General features: G+C 35.4%; 2 protein-coding genes across 13 annotated transcripts in view; one reads left to right on the forward strand and one right to left on the reverse strand.

The window, feature by feature from the left end:
• GCA (grancalcin) overlaps window positions 1–5384 on the forward strand; it is a 56634-nt gene extending 51250 nt beyond the window's left edge. For 7 of the 8 annotated variants that reach the window (XM_006712398.5, XM_006712400.5, XM_047443881.1 and 4 more), the window contains one exon: window positions 1294–1593. In XM_006712398.5, the coding sequence (XP_006712461.1) occupies window positions 1294–1368 (75 nt within the window). In that variant the 3' untranslated portion in view covers window positions 1369–1593. Of the gene's footprint in view, window positions 1–1293 lie in introns of all 8 variants that reach the window. The other variant, XM_005246446.4, reaches the window with a different exon arrangement.
• Window positions 1395–24285, reverse strand: part of KCNH7 (potassium voltage-gated channel subfamily H member 7) — a 467361-nt gene continuing 444470 nt past the window's right edge. For all 5 annotated transcript variants that reach the window (XM_017005220.3, XM_017005219.3, NM_033272.4 and 2 more), the window contains 4 exons: window positions 14676–14927; window positions 9841–10009; window positions 3458–3650; window positions 1395–2083 (listed from right to left, as the gene is read on the reverse strand). In XM_017005220.3, coding sequence (XP_016860709.1) covers window positions 1817–2083; window positions 3458–3650; window positions 9841–10009; window positions 14676–14927 — 881 coding nt within the window. In that variant the 3' untranslated portion in view covers window positions 1395–1816. The remainder of the gene's footprint in view (window positions 2084–3457; window positions 3651–9840; window positions 10010–14675; window positions 14928–24285) is intronic.

Below are 24285 nucleotides of genomic sequence, written 5' to 3' on the forward strand. Positions count from 1 at the left end.
AAAATTAAGCAGGAATAAGAACATGCTTTTGCTTACAGATTGCCTTCCACATGGATTACCAATTTATGTGACCATTTAAAAATACATAGGGAGCAATCTAAGGTCACTTTAATCACATTTTAAACAGTGCAATAGTTTTAGTAACTTGAAATAGCTTGCATTTGAAGCTGATTAACAGATCAGTGTCAAAGTTTGAATATCCTGAAGGGATAGAAATTAACCCATTTAGTAATGTGCACTGATAAAATGTTCTTAATGGACTAACAAACTTTCAATAAATTTCAATATTTTTGTTCAGCAAGAAAAGATATAATGGATCAGAGTTCATAATTTTAAAATTGTACTTGAATTGAAAAATAACATTTCTTAACTAGAACTTGACTGATCAGAATCTTAAATTGTAATGTTTTTCTTTACCCCAATTTTATGAGATACATATGTCCCCCACAAAAAATCTAACAGTTGAAGATATTTTAATTGAAAGATATATTTCATTGTATGTTCTGATATTCTGAGGTCAATATATATTCATTCCAATCATGTATAATAGATTTTTATTTAATTTTCAATTGGCAAAAGTGTTGGAATAACTAAACACAACTGAAATTTTACTGCTGGTATGTGCATTTTCTTTCTAGGCCCATTGCTTTCCCGCAGCTGCAATTAGACATGGAATAACATATACTTAATGGAAACTAGTTTTGCCATGCAAATCCACTGAAATTGCACATTTTTTGAAAACTGTGTCGACTATTTTTTATTTATTTTTTGAGATAGGGTCTTACTGTATTGTCAGGCAGGAGTGCAGTGGTGTGATCAAGGCCTGCTGCACTCTTGACCTCCCAAGCTCAACCCATCCTCCCACCTCAGTCTCTCAAGTAGCTGGGTTTACAGGTGTGAATTACCACACCCTGCTAATTTTTAAACATTTTTTGTAGAGGTGGGGTTTTGCCATGTTGCCCAGGCTGTATGTCCGCTCAGGATTGCTTTAAAATGTGAATCACAAGAAAGCTGTGGATATCAGTTTGTGTTAATCACAGTTTAGCAGTACTTAAGGAGACCACACCATCCCCCGCCTCCAGAAAAAAAGCAAAATGAGAGAAATTTGTTTTTAAGCCTTCTAGGAAATGTGCCAGTGGAAAATACTTTAGATGGTTTGTAAATGCAATTGGTGACATAATTTTAAATAGAAAGACCTTTGTTCTCATTACTGTTGGCCTATGTTTAGTTTTTGGATATGGCTTCCTATACTGTCAGAGGTTTACAACTCAAACTTTGTATTTTTTCTTCCAGTGTGGAGGAATGAACGTAATTAACTTTGAACATCTTGATACAGAAAGACCTGAATCTGTGTGCAAAAGTGACTAAGTTCCCTTTATCCCCCTGGAATTCCCATGAGTTGAGGATCATCTGAATTTGAGTTGCATCCATGAACAGTTTTATCCCTTGGTTTCTTATTTGCGTGGAAGGCATTTTCATAACGAAGTACTGGTTTAGTAAAAGCAGTAAATAGGAGTCTCCATGCAAGAGAAATTGGAGTTTCCTAACATGCATGTGATTTAAAAAATAAAAATAAAAAATAAGGTGCCGTGAGATGCTGGCAGTTTTAACATTTGGAACCAAAAGTTCTTATGTATATTTACATCCTAACTGCTCAGTTTTACCTTACAAGCTTCAATTTAGGAAAATATACAGTACTTTTGCATATAATGGTACCTTGTGAGCCCCTGAGTCAAGTAGAGAGGATTTAAATAGAAAAAGGAAAACAGCCATTAAAAGCACTTACATTGTATGTGGAGTAAATAGTACAAAATGATTATTTCCCTGGAAGACCAGGATCAGAAACATGCCTATGAAGACCCACGATTCCTACAGTGCTTAGGGATGAATCTGGCAAAGAAGGATGCCTAATTGGATGAACGTAAGTTTTTCTTTGCCGCAGGTGAAGCTCTAAAGAGAGATCACTGTCTTGTTTTAAAAGTGAAGTCAAGTTGTCTTCTGAAGCTGTGTTCAGATGCACCCCACTTGAAAGGGATTCTTTGGATTTAAGTTTAGATTTTTCAAGGTCTAGAAATTCAGGACACTGATGGAAAAAGAACAAAACAAGTTTTTATAATTCACATTGATAGATAGTCATTGAAAATTACACTAATAAAAACTTAAGCATTTTCTTTCCTCATTAATCTATATTTGATTAGTGATATTAGCCAACATTTCCCTCCTAAAATGAGTCAGGACGTCGGAGATTGGTTATCAGTACAGATAATCCTAAACAACCATTCCAAGAACTTTTATTTAACCCTGGAACCAGATTTTAAAAATCAGATTTAAAAAAATATATATTATTTTACATTGAGTTTTCCAGATGAATTAAATTCGAAATTTAAGACAAATTGGGATGAGGAATGGGATCACTTGATGAATAAGAGGGTATAAGGAGGAAAGAAAAGATGGGAAGATGGGAAGTAAAATCCGTCATCCCTAGTCAGATAATATTACCTAAATCCACTGAAAACAAAGAACAAAATAGATGGTTTTACATGTTTCCCAGTCATTCAAAACTAGTTAAATTAATTTCTACTTTCAGATTTTTAGAAGTATTGCGTTATTTTCCTTCTGACACATTACCTTCTCTTATTAGTGTAATTTCATTTTCCAGAACGTCTTAAATTAAATTCCCGAACATCTAAAAAAGTTTTATGAGATTGTTCTACAAATCTTTATTTAAATCATTGTTCTTAGGTCCAATTTCACCATAATGTTTAACTAATTAAGACTAATTCCCAAAATAGAATTGCAAGGAAAGCTAGACTACTTACATTAACATAATTCAAAAGGACCCCTTTGAGGGCTTCAGAAGCAGGATAAAGGACTCTTTAAATTGCTTCTCTTACCATGTTTATCATCCAAGTAAAAAAATTTAGAGATCTCTGGTGATGGGTGGGGTACAGACAAGATTACTAGTCTGATGGCATTTGAACCTCAGGTCTAATCTGGCCAGCCTACTATTTCTCCTCCCCTTCCTTCCTGAGACCTCTCCCAGCCTTTGGCACTGTAGAAAATTACAGATTTTTCTTTGAAGCTCTTTTGGGACCCAGATTTTTCCTTAAAGCCCTTTTAAGAGCCAGGAAGACTATTCCTTAGATTTCAAAGCTCTACCACATGTAAATTTAAGCAGGTTGATTCTGGAAGAAAGGTTTTCCTTTTAAAAAAAATGCTAATGTTTAAAATTATTATTCTAGCTTCATTGTTCTCAAACTTTAAATGAACATAAAAATCAGCGTGGGCTTGTTTAAAATGCAGATTACAGGGCCCATTTCCAGAAATTCTATTTGAGTAGAAACAGAGATAGGGACAGAAATCTGCCTTTTCCACAGCACCCCAAGTGATTCTGATTAGGTGACCCCTGGAAACACACTGTGAGAGACACTCTTGGTTGGATGGTATCCACACTTACTTGTGAGGAAGGGCTGAAACTTCGGTCAGTTTTGATGGATGCTTCCGGTTGACTGGTTCTCATCAGCTGGATGATGGGTCTCTGATATTCTGATCCTGCTGTTACCATACTGTAGGCTGGGGGGACCACAGTGGTTTGTTTCTGCAGCAACTGTAAGATGGTCTGGATGTCAGTGGTCATTTGGGATTCAAGCCTACAGAACAGACAGAAGTAGGAAAAGACAGTCTAAAATAGTCCAGAATTTCAGGAGCATTTAAAAAAATTTCAGCACTACCAAGAAACAGAATTATGGCCTTGCTTTAAACAAGAAGGACAGGAGAGGGAGCACAGAGATTCTTTCCTGACGGATACTTACTGTGTATGTCTCACTAATTATTCTGATAAAGACTATTGCTTTCCTGTTCATATTAAGAGTTAACAGAAAATCAAATGAACAAAATAGACTACATGTTTACTAACCTTCATTGATTTCAAAATGTAAAACACACTGACAATTTATTTTTAATCAGTAATTGTCTTTGCTTTTTAATTAGGTTTTACTCAGTTTCTTGTGAACATTTTATTTGCTCTTAAAAAATAGATTGGTAGCACATTTCTTTCATAACTGTAGCATCCCAGGATAATTTCTTATGTGTTTTTACATTTATATTAACACTTTTTAACCTTACCTCTGTCCTATTCATATTAAGTATTGTATATTATTCATTGTATTCTTTCTTTAATGTTTAATGCTGTTAAATGTTAAATTCTTTTTCCCTCTTAATATGTCATGGCCTTTGGTATGTAAGAAGCAGACCAAACTTGACTTCACTTGCTTCTAATGACCCATCTGGCCTGCAAAATACCAGTTTATTTTTTCCCTAAAGCTCACAAGTAGCCAACTGGCCTGTTAATTTCATTCTCATTTTAAATTAAAATTTAAGGGAAAATAGCAAAATATAATTGGTCAGATTCCCCTCCTTTGCATGTGTTAACAACAGCATTAAATACAGAGGAAATTTTGTGGACATAAGAACAGAAAATTTGGACCATATGCCTCTTTAGAAAATTCTTCTAACTCTTCACTTATTTGCGCTGACTGTTTTGCCTCTGAATAAAAAATGGAAATAAAACAAAAAAAGGAAAATCATAGGATTAATTTTGCCCAATTAAATTCATGCTATATTTGTAGAATTCAAAGTAGAAATTAGCTTTTGATTTGATAGAGAACATAATAAACCTGGAAAACATGAGAAAATATCTTCTTTTTTTTTTAGTTTTTGATATTAACACTCCAAATCTTCCTTCTAAGAATCACAATAACACATTATTCTTGCAGTTTTTCTATAGTTAGTAAATATAGCCATATAGCTTTGTGTCTTCTAAACCAATAGCTATGAATGATACATGACTTTGCAAATGTCATTTTTGCAAATGTCAAAACCACTCTGAAAAGGGAAAAATTGAGTTATCAACTGGTTTATTTATCTACTCTTGATACCTGAAGGTCTGATCTAATTTTTATGCTTCCAACTAAACTAAGCAGACCCATTATTTCACTGTTATGTGTTATACATATTTTTCTTTCATTTCACTCTTCAAGTCCCAGCTTATATGTTATCTGTATCCCAAAATCTTTCCTTATTTACCCCATTCAGAATTACTTTCTCCTCTGAGCCTCCAAAGAAAATTATACATTCAGATTTATCATAAATATTTCTGTACAAATGTATTCCATTACTAACAGCATTCAGTTGTGAGTGGCTTACAACAATGTTTATTACATTGAATGTAAAAGGATTTGGGGGGAAAGACTGGAAGAAGAACTGCATCAACAAGGGAGATTCAAGATCCAAAAATGAGTCAAAAATTATCGTGATGTTTTTGTCATATAAATCCTTTGCCAAACAGCAGCTGTCTCTGAGAAATAAAATCTCTTTATCATGGATTCTACCTATTTGAATAGTGTCTATGAGGAAAAAATCTATTGGAAGGTGAGGCTTCAGCATCCATACATCCAGTAATTGCAGCACACTGCCATGAGTGGGACTTAATTTTGTTTTATTAACTAGTTGTTAGATATCTTGGGTAGTTCAACAAAGGGCAGCAGTTTGCTGATAGGTTTTTTTATATGCATAGGGTTGTATTTCAGTGTTTTATGACAAGGGTCTGTTAGCTTAATAAGAATGGACTCTTGGGCCAGTCACGATGGTTCATGCCTGTAATTCCAGCACTTTGAGATGCCAAGGTGGGTGGATCACTTGACCTCAGGAGTTTGAGACCAGCCTGGGAAGCATGGCAAAATCCTCAATAATTAGCCAGGTGTGGTGGTGTGCACCTGTGGTCCCGGCTACTCAGGAGGCTGAAGTGGGAGGAAGGCTTGAGCCTGGGAGATTGCACCACTGCACTCCAGCCTGGGTGACAGAGGACAGAGCCAGACCCTATCTAAAAAAAAAAAAAAAAGAAAAAAAAGAGGACTCTTATACTGAGACTAAATAGCCTGCTTTACTCAGGAGGAATTACAGAGAATTTAAAATAAATCCAGCTTGGTATTTAAAACAGAAAATAACATAGTTTTAGAACTTTTTCTTCTGTCAGCATAATTATAAAGCTGCGTGAAGTTAATATTTTCATTCATTCACTCAGAGACCCACAATGTAGCAGGCACAATGTTAGGTAGGAAGGTGAGGGAACAACATGATAATGAATAAATATGAAATCTGATTTCACAGTGCTAACAGGAACTAACCACTTAGGAAAGACAAATGAAGGAGGTGCATAAATAACCACAACACTAGGCAAAGCAAGTGCTCAATGCCATACTAGAGGCATGCAGATAAATTGCTCTGTGTGCAATGGAAGGAATCATTACTAACAATTTTTACATGTTCTAGGGCTTCCCTACTCAAAGTGTGGTTTGTTTTTTTTTTTTTTTTAGATGGAGTCTTGCTCTGTCGCCCAGGCTGGAGTGCAGTAGCATGATCTCGGCTCGCTGCAACCTCTTTCTCCCGGGTTCAAGCAATTCTCTGCCTCAGCCTCCTGAGTAGCTGGCATTACAGGCGCCCGCCACCACTCCCAGCTAATTTTTGTATTTCAGTAGAGATGGGGGTTCACCATCTTGGCCAGGCTGGTCTCGAACTCCTGACCTTGTGATCTACCTGCCTCGGCCTTTCAAAGTGCTGGGATTACAGGTGTGAGCCACCGCGCCTGGCCAAGGTGTGGTCTTTATATCAGCAACACTGGACATTACTGGGAGCTTTTTAGAATGTGGAATCTCTGTCAACTAGACCTATTAACTTGGAGTCTGCATTTTAATAAGACCCCCAAGTGATTCAAATACACATTGAAATGTGAGAAGCACTGGTCTAGAATCAAGTCTTAATGATTTACCTAAATAGATGTATCTGCAGGCATAATATATAAATACAGAATAACATTTCTTATGTAAACCTTTAACCCTATCTATAGGTTAATCAGTCATTAAAGCAGAAAAGAAGTGGTAGCAAGGACCATTCAAGATAGACCATTTTATTTGTTTTTATTGTGTTTTGTACTTAATATGTGTATTTGAATGAGACAAATGGTGTAGGAATTCACAGTTCTACATTTGAACAAATGCCGAAGCTAAACAGGGTAGACTCCACTATAGAACGTGTCCTGGGATTCTCGCTCTGCAAAGTAGAAGTCTGAGTTGAGCTTCCCCCTTCAAATTTTTTTGTATACATGTAACTTCTAGAATAAAGTGGAGGTGAAAGGTTGTTAAAAACCGCAGTGGAGTAAAAATGTAATATTTTGGATTTTAAATCCCAAACGAGCAAAAAAAAAAAAAGTGTGAAAATATCACAGATAATTAGAAACAAATGTCAAAGGAGATATAGTATTGGTGGTAGTGTCATCCTAAATAATAAATAGAGGCACTCTAAAAGGAAAAGATATTTATATGGGAATACGCAACACAATGGGAATATTCATGCCATAGTAAAGTATGCACTCATTCTGAGAGGTAAAGGTGGAGATTTTTAAAGGAAAGATGAGGAGGACTACATAATTGTTTTGAAATGATTATCCTTGGCTACAAAGATCAATAACAAGGGTGACGCTGGTTCGAGATTGGACAGGCAGTTGCTGGTCAGATGTCCTTGCAGAAGTATGTTTTGTGTTAGGTTACAGTGGCTTCTGTGCAAGGTTGTGGATCTTATAGAGTCTTTGTGATAGTTTTTGTTATCAGGCATACATCCCTCTCTTCCTGGCCCTCCCCAGCTCTATTTTTCAGGGTTTTTCTAACATTAACAACTCCATTTTGATTTTGACTACTTTCACAGCAGCAATTCAAAACATCTTCAGGAAACACATACCGATATTGGGAACACATCAAAAGAGATTTAATTGCATTTTGTGGAAAAGTTTTATATAGTAATAATAACATACTAATGTAATAAAATAACAACAACAATTTTTATTACTATTGGGTGATTGCACGCCAAATGGATCATAAATGTGCCCTTAGAACAAATGTTTTAAGCAATCATTGACTTATCCTAGCAGCAATGATTGGCACCCATGACAGAGCAACCAGGTGATGCTAAAAATCTCAATTTTAGTTCTGATGAAAGGTCCAAGTCAGGAATTATACGTAGAGTAGGAGAATATACTCAAATGAACACCAGTAATAGAAGTGAAGTTCCTTGTTAATCAATTTTTACCTATCTGCAAGTAGAACAACTTCCATTTTGTATAGCATATGTAGTTCCCATTTACATTACTTTAGTCCTTACAGTAGCATCATGGGTAGGTATGAGTCAAAGTAGGAAATGGAGGGAAATTTAAATGATTTGACCCAGTAATCCTGTAACTCATTAAGTAGCAGACTTAAGACCTTTTCCTATGCTCACCAATTGCAAGTACAGTGATAGCATTTTGCTGAATAAATAACTGCTGCTTCTGTCATTCAGTCATTCACTTGTGTGTTCAACAACAATAAACGGCATGGACAAAATGCACACAAAAATTTAAGCATAAATAGTGAATAAATCAGTAGTTTGTGATATAGGCAAAACTCATAGATGTGTTAAGTACAGATGAGTAAGCAAGCAGCTTGTTAAACATGGCAGAATTCATAAGATACATTAAATAGCATGCTAGTAACCTGCCAGGCATATCAACGATAGAAATATGTAACAAACAAGAGTGTTGCTTATACATAGAGATGGAAAGAACAAATTATTCTCAGGTCACCTCTAGGTAAACAACCGTCATCCCAAAATGTGGTCACCCATTGGTGATATCAGTATCATCGCATCTTGGCTCCATGTGTGCTGTACCTACGAAAGGCTAATGAAACACATGGCTGTTGAGCTGGCTAGTTGGAAAGTCACAGCTGAGGTCAGGTATACTATACCTTGTATCCTTGTTATGGAGCAAGTGTGTGCCACTGGCACAGGAGATTATTTTTGTCTGCAGACCTGCAAACCTCCACTCTGGTCTTGGTAACTTCGTTACATTATGGCAAATGCATGAACATTGTGTAAGTCAGAATTGGGGTAGTGCAATCCTTTTACCATGCTTGTGCGTGTTCGAAATGTGTTAATTGCCCCATATGGTTTCCCTCTTCTCTCACTTGTGTTTTAAATTGATTTAATAAATCTTGTGATTAGAGCATTTTAATTTAGTCAGTGCAGTTTTCTGTCTGGGACCACTGGAATATCTTGCCTGGTGGTGAACTAAAAGGCTACTATTGGATCAAGACAAATTCCCAAGTGAAACACAACTAAAGCATCTGTGTCATACCCACTCATAGATTCTTTTCAATCTTTTTGACCACTTTAATTTTAAAGAAACCACGCAGACTTAGGGGAAGGGATTACCTCCTCCCTAAACTAAGATTTATTCATCATGTTAAGTGGTTTAGATCAACGGTGAAGGAAACAAGAAACTCTGTGAGAATTTCAAGTCAATTACATTTTTTGATAAGCTGACTGAATAACTAAAAGTTTAAATCACTTTGTCAGTATTTTTTAAATGCCCTAACACATAGCTATGCTATCGGGAACATCCGAAAAAGTGTAAAAGGAGGATTAAAAGAGGAAGGGTGTCAGTTAACAAATTAATTAGGAATTATTTTGAGGGGAGAGAAGGGGGTTTTCTAAGATAGCCAGTGCTGGTGAAATACTAACTGGATGACAAAGAAAAAAATAGGATTTTTGCTGCCAGAAGTATGAAGTGTTCTAAATAAATGCTCCTTTCAACACAAATTATTCTGTCAACTTCTAGTCTTATTTTAAATAAGTAAATGTATAAGGAAATTATGAGATCATGGCAAGGAGAATTTTCCATTTGTAAGGAGTAAAACTGGACCCATGTAAGGGGTTGGGTTATGTTCTCCTTTTGCCCATCACTGCTTATACCTGTTAAGTTGCTCCTGGAGCAGATCTAATCTTTGTTCCACTTCCCCGTAGGTGAGGTCGCTTTCGGTTTCAGAGATACCCCAGGCAGCTCGCTGAAGTGCAGATGGACTGGAGTCTTCAGGCTGGGGATGTGCATTTTCTCGTTCCCAGCTTCGCATGTCAGTGATATCTGTGGAAAATAGCAAGATGGATGTCAACACTCTTAGGTGCCCCTTTGCGTCAATAATTCATAGATATCCACAAGACAAGCTGGAAAGGATCGGAGTATAACCTGAGAGACAGAGAACCAAAAGTATTCAGTGATGTGTCCAGGGGCCACGGCCAGTTGGTAGCAGAGTCCCACTTTCACCCTGCTGGCCCTACCTCCCATATCCGTTTCCATGTGAACAAAAACATGTAGCAGGTCCTGAGTGTTTAGGATTTTGTTTTCTTTCTGTTTGTGCTAGGAGAAGATAAGAACAGCAGAACCAAAACTGATTAGAGAACAATGAGTCTGTGCTTTTATATCTAGAAGGAAGCAGCATATGTTGTTTGCACCGCATTATCTAGGGTTTAAGATTTTTAGGGCTCTTTCCCACAGGATAACTTGCATACGTTATGACTTAGAGTGGGCCCAAGAAGAGAGCCTTAGAGAAGTGCTGATCTTCAGGGTGATTCTCTTTGGCCAACCCAATTCAAATAGAGCCAAGGAGCCATAAGCCATGAAAAATGGGAAGAATTTTACAAGTCCCCTAGTCCCCAGCTACTGTTTCATGTTTTAATGCTTTCTTGTAGCCCCTTCTGTGCTGCCCTTTACCATAATTATATTGCTTTCTAGTATGTTTTTCTTGTGGCTCTTTATTTTAAATATTGCTATGTTACTCTACTTTAAGATAAACTATTAGTTCAGGTCTACTATTTAAAATGTTCTCAGTGTCTATTATGGACCAGACACCTTGGTAAATACGGAGGAACTAAAGACAAAGGAGACCATAGACCCCGAACTTGAAGAATTCAGTCTAGCAGGGTTGTGATCCCTTTTCATATACAGATTCATTTTTCTGAACTTCTTTTAATTTCCTTTTTCTCCTACAATCTATATTTTAAGCTGTCAATATTTGGGGGAAAATATGTCCTTTCCCCCTCATTTTTGTCTATATTTTAGATGTTTTTGCTGCTCTCTTAACCTCTAAGAATAATTAACAGGTTGGAAAATGAAACTTATGAAAAAATACAACTGGAGCTGGGAGTTGACTTTGGAGATAAAGGAGAAACATTTTTCTTCACTGGGAGGGCTAGTAGGAAGGAAGGACTATCTAAAACTGGTGTTCATTTTCACAGAGAAAGAGATTTGAATTACAGAAAGTGATTTTGGTTTGATAGAAAGACTTAAAAAAAACTTGACAAGTATCTATGATTAAACACTGAGAAGAGTTATTATGTAAAGTTATGGAATTCTTGGCTATTTTAAAAAATTGGATAGAAAGTAACTGAATTGGGCAGGATTAGCTATGATTTTAGAAATAGGAAACAACACCATTGGACTCCTCAAAGTTCCTTCCTTTCCTGCAGTTTCTCCAAGGGTAGTTTAAATGCATCCTCTTTCTCCAAGTAGAAGACAGACATGTCTGTATTCTTTCTTCATGGTTTTCCTCTCACTCATTATCTTTTAACATTGAACATAAAGAAATTTCTCAAATGAGGTGTCTATAATTTCTGCCTCAGTAGGGTGAGGCTTGACAAAGGAATTAGCATATCCAAAGTCAGCATTAGAAAAATATAGGATCAGAGTTCCTTCTTCTGCAGAAATGGCTAACAGACCTCAGAGGGCTTGCTATGAATTCCAGAAAGACTCTTCCTGATTACGGCTTTTGTTCTTATTTAAAGAGGCAGTTTATAATTTCTTTTAATATTTTATGAAACATGGCAAAATATAAGTGAACCTAAAAAGATACTGCTGGAGTTTTAAGTCACTTATCTGCAGATTTTCACTGAGAAGTATGATTTGTTATTCACAGACGTTTGAACCTGTTTAAAATGCAAAACAATAATATCTTAGCAAACTGGGATTTAAAGATTGGGCCAGTAATGCTAAGCAAACTTCCGGAATACCTATATAAATGGTCTGGTGATGCTGATGCTTTTCTCTGTCTAGTCTGCTGCTAGCCAGTTAATGTAGAAATCTTTCTTTCGAGAAGGCAAGAACTGATAAGACTGAAGTTACATGTTATGCTCACACATTTTGTGCCAAGAAAGCTTACAGAATTTCTGCCTATGTTTAACAGCTCTCTTCTTTCCAAATTATATATAATAAATTGGTTTTTAAATGACAATGGTGAATCACATGCAATAAATTATGGAGGATTATATTTTTTCTTCAGGGCTCAAGAAAAAATAATTACCTTATCAGAAATGAACGAAGTGTATACTCTTAGAGGCTTCCTTGATTATAATTTACTTTTTAATTAAAATCTGAAGATACATAATTAGCTTGTTTAAACAGCAGTATAAAAAATGAGGAGTTCAAAGGGGAAATCCTGGTTAGTGGTCGTAATCAAATGAACATCCTTGTAGACACTTTCTAAATATAGCTTGGAAAGAATCTGCACTTGGTTGCCTTGGAAAATGTTGCTATAGTTGCAAGACACATTTCTGGAAATGTATGAACAGAAAGTAAACTTTCACTTTGCTCTGAGTAGACAATTTTCCTAGAGTCAACTTTTGACCTCAATCTTAGTAGGAACAGAGTCCATTTAATTTGTTCTCTTTTCATTTTAGTTTGGCCTAAATGTGCTCCTCTGTTGGATTCAGCATCACAAATGTTAGGAATATGAGTGAGTGACATGTCCTATTGATGGTGAAACTAAAATTTGTGGGGGTTTAGTAGTTTGAACTGCAGCAGCAACAAGTCACACATTGCATATTAATGCAATATATCATCTTAAAAATCATTAAGGAATGAAATTTGCAGTGAATGAAGTTTTAGAATTCCCCATTGGTTAAAGATATTAATTAGCCAGGCTAACCATGTGTTACACTGATTGAAGCTATATGATATCAATTCAATTGACATGCATATTTAGCTGTACATTTTCAAGATAATTATTATTTGAATAGAGATTGCCCTGTAAATTTTTAAAAATTAGAATATATAGATACTAAATTTGTTAGAATATAATTTTTTGTGTTTATGGAAAAGCTAATTAAAAATAATTGGAAGGCGTAGCAAAGAAAAGTATATGAAGAAGGGCATGAGAATTCATTGTCAGTGAGAGTCATTATAAAGTCAGAAAATCCCCAAATTATATATTTAATAATTCGCCACTTGAGACTCTAAAACTCAAGGGGAAAACAACAAGCATTCTTATTAGGTTCACATTATGTTGACCTTTGGAGATAGCAGAGATGGTTCAGCAAGCTCTTCAGAACTTGTGACTTCCATGATACAACCTGTTTCTATTTTTAGCACTTCCCAGAATCCATTTTCATAAATAACTAAAATGGGACATTTGGTAATCACATTTAATATTCCATTCTTCCATTGTGATAAATGAGGTACTATTTCCACTCACTTCATCAAGATTTTAGATTGTCCAGAGAACACTTGCATATATTCTTAGCTTACTTCAATGTGGGGTCATGAAAAAAGTGGGTGCTACAAGACAGGAAAAGCAACTCTGGAAAAATATAAAGCCTAAGTATCCTAGATTTAATAAAACCTTTGTAGCTGAATATGGTACTTGGGAATAATGATGATAAGTAATATTTACTTACTCTGTACTAATGTACTAATTTTGCTATCCTACCAGGCCTAGAACATCCTATTTTTCCTTTTCTGTTAATATTCTTTTGATGCTTTATTATGCCTTCCTAATCTTTACATTTTTATACATCCAGGGATATATTAAATTATTAAAACTTGAAAAATAAAACCTGTGAGAAAATACTAACAGTTGGGGATTTTATTTCAGAAAAAGTAATTTACATGTTATCTTAATAACCATAACCTCGTTGGTTAGATAATATTATTCCTCTTTTAAAGATGCATAAACTGAGTCTTGGTGGGTTTGGTCAAATCATTTACCCAAAGACATAAAGGGAGCAAGTGGCAGAGCTGCACTTGGAACCCAAGCAGTCGTTACTGGTACCACTTACTAGCTAGACCTATAGATCTAGCCTCTGGTATGCTAAAATAGTTGTTCTTCCATGTAATAGTTCTTTAAATTTTCCTGAATTTCTCATTTTTTAGCATGAAATCTGCATCTACTAATCAAGCATTATTACCCAACTCGTGCACATTTTCTACAACAAAATCTGTACATTTGGGTATTCCTTTTGGAAATAAAAATAAAAATAAAATAAAGACCATACTTTATTTCAGGGCATTTCTCCACTCTTTCTCATATTCTCTGTAAAATTAAATTTTGATTGGCATGTATTATAGTGTGATTGCATTGGCCCTTCATACTATAATATTATAGGGTTGGGGGTGAGAAATGGGTACATAAGATACATATAAAGAACCAATTGATTAACTGTCTTAAAATATTCATGGGTCCTCTCTCCCCATTGAAATTACTACAACAGACTTTCCCACAGTTTTCTACCCGACATTTTATTAAGTCTGGTTGGTCACGAAAACCTCTCACTCTATAAGTGTTTGGGAATAATTACCACTTGTTTTAGAATAGTGCAAACACTTCATGGATGATCTGAAATCTGAACGCTTCGCGAACATTTCATGAAGTTGAGAACAATTAGATTAACATGTGTCAGTACAGTTCTTAATTTGTAAAAAGTCACCATTTTGTGATTAGCACTGAAGAGAGACCACCTGATGTCTAACTCTGGATTACCTTTGCAAGAGTGACTTCTTTTATCTATGTGCATTCTTCCTGAGGTGGGCACTGTTTCTTCAAAATCGAGCCCAGATGCTTTCCCTATTCCTGGAGAAGAGTCTACTATTCCTGAGAAGAGCGGCTTTTGTTCATCATCAATGGAGGAGATGAAAGATGAGGATCTGCTTTTTTTCTCTTCAAAGTGTCTCTTGGAACTCTGATAATGTCTTATGGTATCTGCAGAGTCTTCAGGATCATTTGTACTGTTTTCTTTGCCAAAATATATCAAAGAAAAGTTATTTTATAGCAGACAATTAAATGTGAGACGGTATGCATATTACACTACCTAGCTATATATATAAACTAGCTTTTTCCTATTGAAAATGTAGCTACTTGGGTACTCAATTTTTTAAATTCAAGGGTTATTAGATTATCTTAGTAAAGTAAATTATTCATTTCAAAATTAAAAGAATATTTACAATGGTAATAATGTTTATGTCTCAGACGAAAACTATGATAACTTACAAACTTGTTTATATGTTCAAGTTATTTGTATTCTGAGAATCTGGTACACTCTTTCTTTAGGGAAATGAAAAAGACAAGGGAAAATGTGTCCCAATTTTAAAATATCACCACTATGCAACTTGCTATTTGTTTATTTTTAATCTACATGCCCTATTATCTGTTTTAGCTGCTCATGCATTGCAAAGGTCAAAATTGGAAGCCTCCTTGTAGTAAAAGGCTGGCAGGCTGAATTTCAACCTTAGTCTGATGCATGTAATGGCCTTGGCATTCCAGGCAGTTTGGTTGTGTAGCATAATGCAAAGAATATAAAGCTTAAATACAGTAATTAAGGTAGGTTTTACCTAATTACATTAAAGCTGGTAGTGCATATTGGCTGTTTTATACTGAAATGTCAGGATAATTTCAGTCCTGAAGGTTGTGTTAGAACATATTTCAGCAGGAAAAACTCAAAGAGACAAATCCCAGAACTTGTTTCTATTAGTGTCCTGGGGAGACAGTATAATTCTCCATCTGGTTTCTGCTAATAACTAACCAACAAAACGCCAGAAGGTATATCATTTTCTGGAGAAATGGTGAAGACAGTGTCTCCATCCACTCTACGCCTCAGTGTGCTTACTTGGTTATTTATAGAAGGCCAAATGAACCGATGGAAGGCCATGCCAGAGAAACTTCCAACTGTTTTTAAAAATTCCCATATGGCATAGAAATTCAACAAAGATTTTTTCCCTTTATTTTTTTAAATCATAATTTAAAATATGAGAAGCCAGAAAGCAGCCCAAGGTAAAAGCAGATAGAGTTTAAAAATCAGTGTTATGCGAAATTGTTATTGAGGAGTTCATGTTTTGTCAATTAAAGTTGAATCTAGCAAATGCAGATTGCTTATTTTCTTTAAGATTTCACACTTGCTCAGTGATTTCATCATTGCTGAGAAAGCCATGGACCTTTCCGATCTCCAACATTACAGACATCATTGATTACTTACTGTTACTTGTATATCCCTACTCAATCACTAATCTAATTGGTTGTAAATATTCGGATCAAATCTTCTTACAAAAAGCCTTTTCTCTTCAGTGTCATTGGCACAGACCTCCTTAAACCTCTAAAATTCCATCTTGCCATCTTCTTTCCAATTTTCTTTGTTTTTAACTTCTTCCCTTCTCTAAAGCCCTCTGAAAATTTGATCAACATTCTCTACTTTTTGAACATATCATTTTATTCCTCAAAACATAATAGTTATAAAGATTAGCCTAGTAAATGTGAAAAAAACGAAAGTTTCATTTTTCTAAATTATCCTCATACCTGCTTAGTGAATTGCACCAGTTTGCTCTTCCTAAGTAAACCTTCTTGTGATCTGTCACTTGGGAACCAGAGATATTTGAATCAGCTCAGGCCTCCTATTTTCTCGAAAATGATTTTCATTTCTACACTTTTGTGGAGTGTTTTCCAGCAGCATCAAATGCAAGCTGAATTAACCATTAATTCATGTGCCTCCAATCAAGGTCTGGATAATGCTAACATGGATATTTGCAATGAATTTACATCACAAATTAATAAACCATTTTGTATCTTTGGCTGGAGAGGTCTTGGGGAATCCTTACACATGGTAGAATGTTCTGTTTTACCTACCATGCTGGGCTTCAGTCTTAGTTTACTAACTTTGGCTTGATTTTGGATGCTTATGAACAAGATTCACCAGTTAACATGTATTGTTAAGTTGAATGATAACTTGCTGATTTCACCTTGGACATGTGTTTACAAAATGTGGTCAGTGAGGAATTACTATTATTTAGTTGTATAGTAAAATGGAGAAAATTACTTCATATACATAGGACAGAATTCTTTAGCAAAAATTTCAGGTAAAAGCAGAATCAGGTAAAAGAAGAAGAAAAAAATTTGATATCCTTGAATTTTCCCCATTGGTAAGGAGAAAAAAAAACCCACCTTTATTTCTGTATTAGTTGCTACTGGACTATCACCCAAGCCATATGAACAATTTCTTTGATACAAACCCACTGAAACAGCATTTTTCCATTCCATACTAGATAAATTAAAGCTTCATTTTCTGTCACATAAAATGAAAGTTGAAATGACAATCTATTTGTAGATTAAAAATGGAAACTGTTCAGGCTTTGGCTGGAAAATTGGCTGATGTAATATGTACATGAAATTGGGCAGCTGAAATGCATTATAATTAGCCTCCAGGTACTTCTAAATTTTGATGGACTGTACTATTTTTGCCTTTTTCCAGTTAAACTGAATTATTTGATAGACATTAAATAGTATCAGGTACTTTTTTTTTCTTAATTCTATTTATATTCTATGTAGAAATAATATTCTAAGGGCAGTTATCTGATTGCATAATCTTTCCTGTTACCATCATTTTATATAAAGAAAAAGTCTTGCCTGTTTAATTCAACCACAGATTTGCTTCTGATTCAGAAGATGAAAAACTTTTTTTCTCCCTTGTTTCTTTAGGTGGACAGTTCGTCTCCTCCCGCTTTTTTACAGAACACAATTCTAAAGCATTTGTGACTTGTCTTATGGGTGTCTCTCTGAGTTTAGAATGTATTCAAGAGCATAGAATAAGTGTCCTAATGGAACGACTGACCCATTTATCTTAAGAATGATAATATAATAATCTTTTCTTTCAAAAAACCTGGAATTAACATTTGTGCTCACTCCATCTTTTATGGAGTCTTTCTCTCAGTTTACCATTTCTATTTGTCGAACCCAACAGGGAAACATAAGCTTTGGTCAAAGAGAAGCATTTAAGGTGCTCTCTCAGCATTTGAGTTTTAGATTTCCCACTGCTGACAAGAAATAAGTTGAGCAATTCCCAGCCAGATGCCTTGAAAAAATTATTACATTGGAAAATTGGAGTCTAAAATAAATTTTTTCATTTAAGATCACATACTTTAGGCCTCCTATAGCTCTAAAGGGTATTGAAAGAGGCCTAGATGAATACTTTTTTATACAAATACAAAAATTAACAATTTAAAAAATTAAAATAAAGAAAAGATGGATATTGGTTTAAAGGTAAAAAGTTTCAGATATGCAGAATGAATAAATTCTGGAGCTCTATTCTACAGTATGGTAACAATAGTAAATGTATTATATACTTAGAAGTTGCTAAGAGATTAGACCTTAAATGTTCTCCCCACATAAACACACACACACACACACACAGAGTTAACTATGTGAGTGATGAGTGTGTTAAATTAGCTTGAATATTGTAATCATTTCATAATGTATACAAATATGAAAAAAATCACTTTGTATACCATAAATATGTACAACTTTTACATGTCAATTATACTTCAATAAAGCTTGAAAAGATCAAAAGATACTTTTATAGATCACTAAAATGGATAACAAAAAGCTAATCATTGTTTGCTATTGAAGAAGATATTTCAAAGACATACCAAAGTATAATACCAATATATTGAAATAATCTAATAAAACCAGAATAGAATTATCACTATTCTATAAAAATAAGTTTATCACTGAATACATTTACCCCTTCAATAATTTTCACAGGAGCTATTTTATTTTGAAGAAACACTTTTAAAACTGACTGGCTTTTGGATGGCAATGGAAAATCACTAAACCAGTATTACAAAGTGATAGTGTTTATTGCTATCCTTTGAAATGCAAAATGTAATGAGTTCAGTACACTTCCACTCTATTTTCTAGCACATTGGATTTTTCCTGTGGAGTATATATCGAAGAGCTCATTTTAATAAAATTATATGGCTAGGGAAATGAGTAAAGTTTTCTTCCCTACTCTTAGGATGTGTGTATCTCTTGAAAAGGGTTCTTGTTTGTCATCATGCATGCAGAACCATCTGCGTCCAATCTTTCACCTTGATTTCCATCTCTTCGGTTGTTACAGGCACATCTTTAACACTGTTTGAATGTTTCACTCTGGTGGCTTTTTTTGTTTTGTTTGTCTTTTTGTTTTGTTTTGTTTTTCGTGCTTGGCAGTTTGTTCTTTAAAATGGAGCATATTGTGATAATCTATTAGCAAAAGTAAGAGGGTCTTCGGAGCTCTGAGAATTGTTTCTCAGCTTTTGGAAATCAAGAGGGTAAGAATATTTCCAGGTTAGGAAGGAAAAGCTCAGCATTCTTTAACTACACAGGCCAATGTCCCTTTTGACATTGCTAAGGCTAAGAAAAATTATTTTCTTTCTGACGCAATCATTTTTTCAAGTCCTATATAATTGAGGCTACTTGCCGACTTTATTCTTGAACATTATTCTTTATGCTTTTGGAAAAGGAAGCAGGAAAAGGTATAGAGAAGGGATATTTGGAAGAGTGGGTTCAGATACTTCTGCAGAGTTCTGATGAGGAACGGGAGGCAGAGGAATCAATGCCAAATCTGTTGTTTTGGGAGAGGTGACCTCAGGTGACATCAATGCTTTAGTTAAAAAATATACCAATAGGATTTCTCTTAAAATGTATAATATCAGCAAGAACTAATTTTCACAATATTTGAGGCGTTTCCACGCAATAAAACCAATAGAGTAAAAAGTTTCCTCTTCCAGGTCCTCTTTTTTCTACTCATGACTTGGCACAAAATAGTAAAAATAATTTCCTCAGAATTCTGTAGAAACACTTTTTTCTGCTAAATTAACTAGAAAATATAATGAAAATTGAAGAGGGAAAGTATGCAGACACTAACTACAATTCAGAGGGAATTTCTATTTGTCTCCTTGTTAACCAATGAAGAATTTTCTCTAAAACTTTAAGACAAACTTTTGAAACTAAAGTAGAAATAAACATGAAAAAACTCAGGGCACTTAGCACACAGTGGGTACTCAATGACAATGGACTCCAAATGAATGGGTGATTGTTTGTGCCTGGTTACACTGCTGTCCTCATTGGATTATTCTCTGCCAAAAGGTCATCCCCTAATTAGCTATTAATAGCCACTTTGATACTGTATTTTCTGTCAACAGAAAGCGTTGAGCAGAACACTGCAAATATTTGGTCTTATAAGCCCTGTAAGTAAACATACATAAATGTATGTGTGTAGTGTATAATCGCATTATATATATATACACACACACACACACATATTTATATATTTTATAATATATAAATTATGTATATACATATGTATATGTATATATCCTGTGCCATTATACATGCTATTTTACAAATATACCCTGTATATTATACAGTGAACACAACATAAAATTTTAGAAGAATTATTACTTCTATGACCTAATGGATCTGGCTCACACTGGAGTAGGCACAGTTCAACTTTTAAGACCAAGTAAATAGAGACGATTTTTCAGCATTTTTCTCATTTACTTCTCTTCTGCCCAGCCATCTTAACAATGCTCATGGCCACTGAGCAGGTCATTGAAGCCTCATTTTTATTCTTCACTTTCTGTAATAATATTTTACTTCCATCTCAGGAGCTGTAGCAATTCTTCCTACAATAAACATTGTCATATTGGGGAGGTCCTGGGCACCTCCATGCCAGAATTTTAGGAAGAAAAGATAACTACTTGAAGATACCTTTAAAAATACAAGGTGCTCTCAAATTTCTACCTGCACTTACAAGTCTCTCCTGTAGGGAAGTGGGATTTTTCCTTAGAAAAAAAATGTATAGCTCATGAGAACAAGCCACCGTCATCAACAAATTCATTATATATTCAATATAAGTATATATTTTGTTTTTCAGCTTTCCAGAGGCTGTACATATTTCATTGAAAAATTATATCTTATTCAATGTGAGCTCTTTAGAACCTTGTGGGAGGCATAATTGGAAGCGGAGTGGCAGGCGGCAGGTGTGGATCAAAGCCGGCAAATTTGCATTGTTCCACTCAGTGGGTAGGGAGTGGCAATCCAGGACTCAACCTCTGTCTGCTGCTAGTGCCCAGAAACACAGTCTTCTCTCTGGTTCTTGATGCCACTGCTGATTTACAGGCAACAGCACTCTTGAATGCCTGCCTTCAAGGTTTCCTTTCATATGAGCAATGAACTAACACTACAAAAATGAATGCATTTCAAGGGAAGATTTCAGTTTCTGTATCCACAAATCGTTTAGCATGAATGATCCCCTGAAAGTTCTCTGTTCTTTATATTATGTGTATTTTTCTCCTATATATTGACGCTACATCAAGAAGTATATGATGAATGCTCACCTTAAGAGAATTAGATTTGGATGACAGGGACTAAATTGCTTTCAGCAAATTTTACAATTGCCCACAGCACCCTGGCTTCCTAAAGACTTTGGAATAGGCTCTTGGGCTCTGGTTAACTGGAGTTAATTGTGTTTTCACATTGACCAACTCATGGTTACTTACTGGCACAACCAGGAAACTTCAAAGAGCTGCAGGCAGAAAATCCCTTAGCATCTACACTTTATACGAATTTGATCTCATATACCAAGCCTGTGATTAAAGGCATAGTATTCAAAATCAACAGAAATGTCTAGTTACATGAGCACAGTACAAATTGTGACATTGCTCTCAGGGCCTTATCAGGCGATAAAAACATTAGATAATTTAGCTTAAGAATGAGGAAACTGAACAAGATTGAAAGGAGATTTAATAAATCTTCAACTATGTGGAAGACATTATTATATTGACAACATTGTTAACCTGTTGTTCATTTCCAGTAAGACAAACATAAGAGATGAACTTCAGGATAAGGGATTTAGATTAACTCTGTGGAAGAACAGCTTAATAGTAGTGGTTCTGATTTTAGAAAAAGTCACCAAGAAAATAATTAAAGACATTGCAGAACAAAATTATCAACTATCTATGAGTAGTCTATTGTTCTACAGTCAGCCAGAGGAATCAATAATTAGTCCAATTCAAGAAATATTTATCAACCATTCTTTGCTAAAGTTATCTACAGTTTGGCAAAGGCAAAGGAAAAAAATACACCAGTAGCCATCATATTTTGACAATATTATAAGAAGTAAGTGCTTTGAGAATTCATAAGAGAAAGAGAAGCTTTACATTTGAGGAGCTCAAGAAACAATTCACATTAAATATATCATTTGAGATTGACTTTGATAAAAAAAGTAATTTTAGTGGATGAAACTGGTGTGGTATGAATTCGTGTGTGTGTGTGTGTGCGCATGTGTGTGTATGTGTGTGTTTTTGAGGACAAGGAAGCAAATTAATTAAGGGAATATTATAAGGAAAACCACAGAAACAATGTACATGGAGGAGTGGGCAGTTTGTTTCAATTGAAATGTGGAGCAAGATAAAGCTAGTAGATGATCTCTTCTAGAAAGAGTATTCATTGAGGAGAAAAGAGAGTGAAAAAAAGAACTTGGCATAAGAAGGCAAGAAAAGGGAAAAGAATAAAAAGGAAGATGCTCAAATTCTATTTCAGTTACTCTTTCCACAGATACTTGTTGAGCATCTGCTGTGCAGCAAGCACTAAAACTACAGGGGGCCAAATATTTTCCACTTTCACGGAACTTATGATCTAGAGGCAGACAACATTGATTAAATAATGATGCAAATAAACCCAGAAGTACAACTGGAGTAAATGTTGCTGAAGAGATGAACTGATGGGGGAAGATGGAGTGATGGGAGTAGTTAAGGGAAGGATATTATGAAATAAGACTGAAGAGGTAAGTTAAGACCCACCCTAATAAGGATTTAGGGCACAGGATGTCCTTAGAGGGCTTTGAACATGTAGGTGACATAAACATAGCTGCATTTAGAAAAAAAAAATCAACAGAAGTCCAGTGTGGAATAGATGAGAGAGGGGCAAGTTGCATGTGGGAAGGCAAGTTGGAAGGCTGTTTCAATATTCCAGGTGGCAGATTATGGTAGCTTGGCCCAGAGCTGTGGCTAAGTAGATGGAGAGAAGTTAACCAAAAGGAGACCTAATTTGAAGACTAAATGGAGATTTATTGGAGGTAGCAATAATAGGAGTTGTTGCCAGAGTTGATGGAGAGGTTGTGAGAAGGTTGGCTCCAAGATATCTGGCTTGTACAATTGATGAATAGAGTCACCATCTGCAGAGGCATGGGAATTGAAGAGGAGACAGGTTTCCAGGGTGCACCATGAGTTCAATTTAGGAAATGTTGAGTTCGAGCTGCCTTTGAGATTTCAGGTAGATGATTTTATAGGCAGTTGGATATGTGGGACTGAAGCTCAGGTGGTCTGGGATTAACATGTAATCATGAACATCTCCTATGTGAGGATATACTTAAATGATGGGCATAAATGGGATCACCCAGAGAAAGAGTATGATATAGAACAAGAAGAAAAAGGAGCCTAGGACTATGCCTCAAAACTCTTAACAAATTGACACTGGTATAGAATATAATAATCTTGAAATTATCTTCAGGGAGTTCATGAAGGTAGGAGGAAAATAGGAAGATTGAAGTATTACAGACGCAAAGAAAAGAGTATTCAAGAAAAAGAGGGGACCTTGTTCATAGTGAAAGATGCAGCTATGGGGCCAAATAAGGTAAAGACTAGAATGTTTGTTGGATCAGCATGAGGCAAGAGTCAAAGCTTCTTCAGGAAAACTTTTTCCCATCTGCCAAGAACAATTAAATGTACACTCACTTGGGCTCCCACTGAGGAATACCTATTCCTGTTACAGAGCCTACTATTTGAGGGCGTGTCTATCTCCCTCTCTAGGGAAGATGAGGGATATTGAAGCACAGCTTATTTCTCAGAATATTGAGTAGCTGCTCGAAAATGTGAAATGTTAAATGAATATTTGTTGACTATATAAGCAAAGCATAAAGAATAGTCAGAGAGGCAGAAAAACCTGGAGAAAACAAGAAGTGACAAGTGCCACAGAATCTGAGGATGAGAAGGACTAACAAATGTGGCCTTCATCCATGTCATGCATGCTTGTGGGGCATGTAAGAGGATTGACCTCTTGGCTTGAAATGACAGCCCTCTTTCCAGAAAACTGTGCTCCGAACGAATTGACCTGAACGTCTTTTAAAAATCAATCCACTCTATTTCTTAATCTGCGATGTCCTTGTGAATATTAGATGGGTTTGTTGAATGATATCATTGAGAGCTATCAATCAGAAACTGGAAACCAGATCATTAGCTACTGAATAAAGCAAAGGATCTGCCCTCCTAAAGCCTGAGTAAAATAT

The sequence above is a fragment of the Homo sapiens genome, chromosome 2 (genome assembly GCF_000001405.40).
Source record: "Homo sapiens chromosome 2, GRCh38.p14 Primary Assembly".
Lineage (NCBI taxonomy): Eukaryota > Metazoa > Chordata > Mammalia > Primates > Hominidae > Homo > Homo sapiens.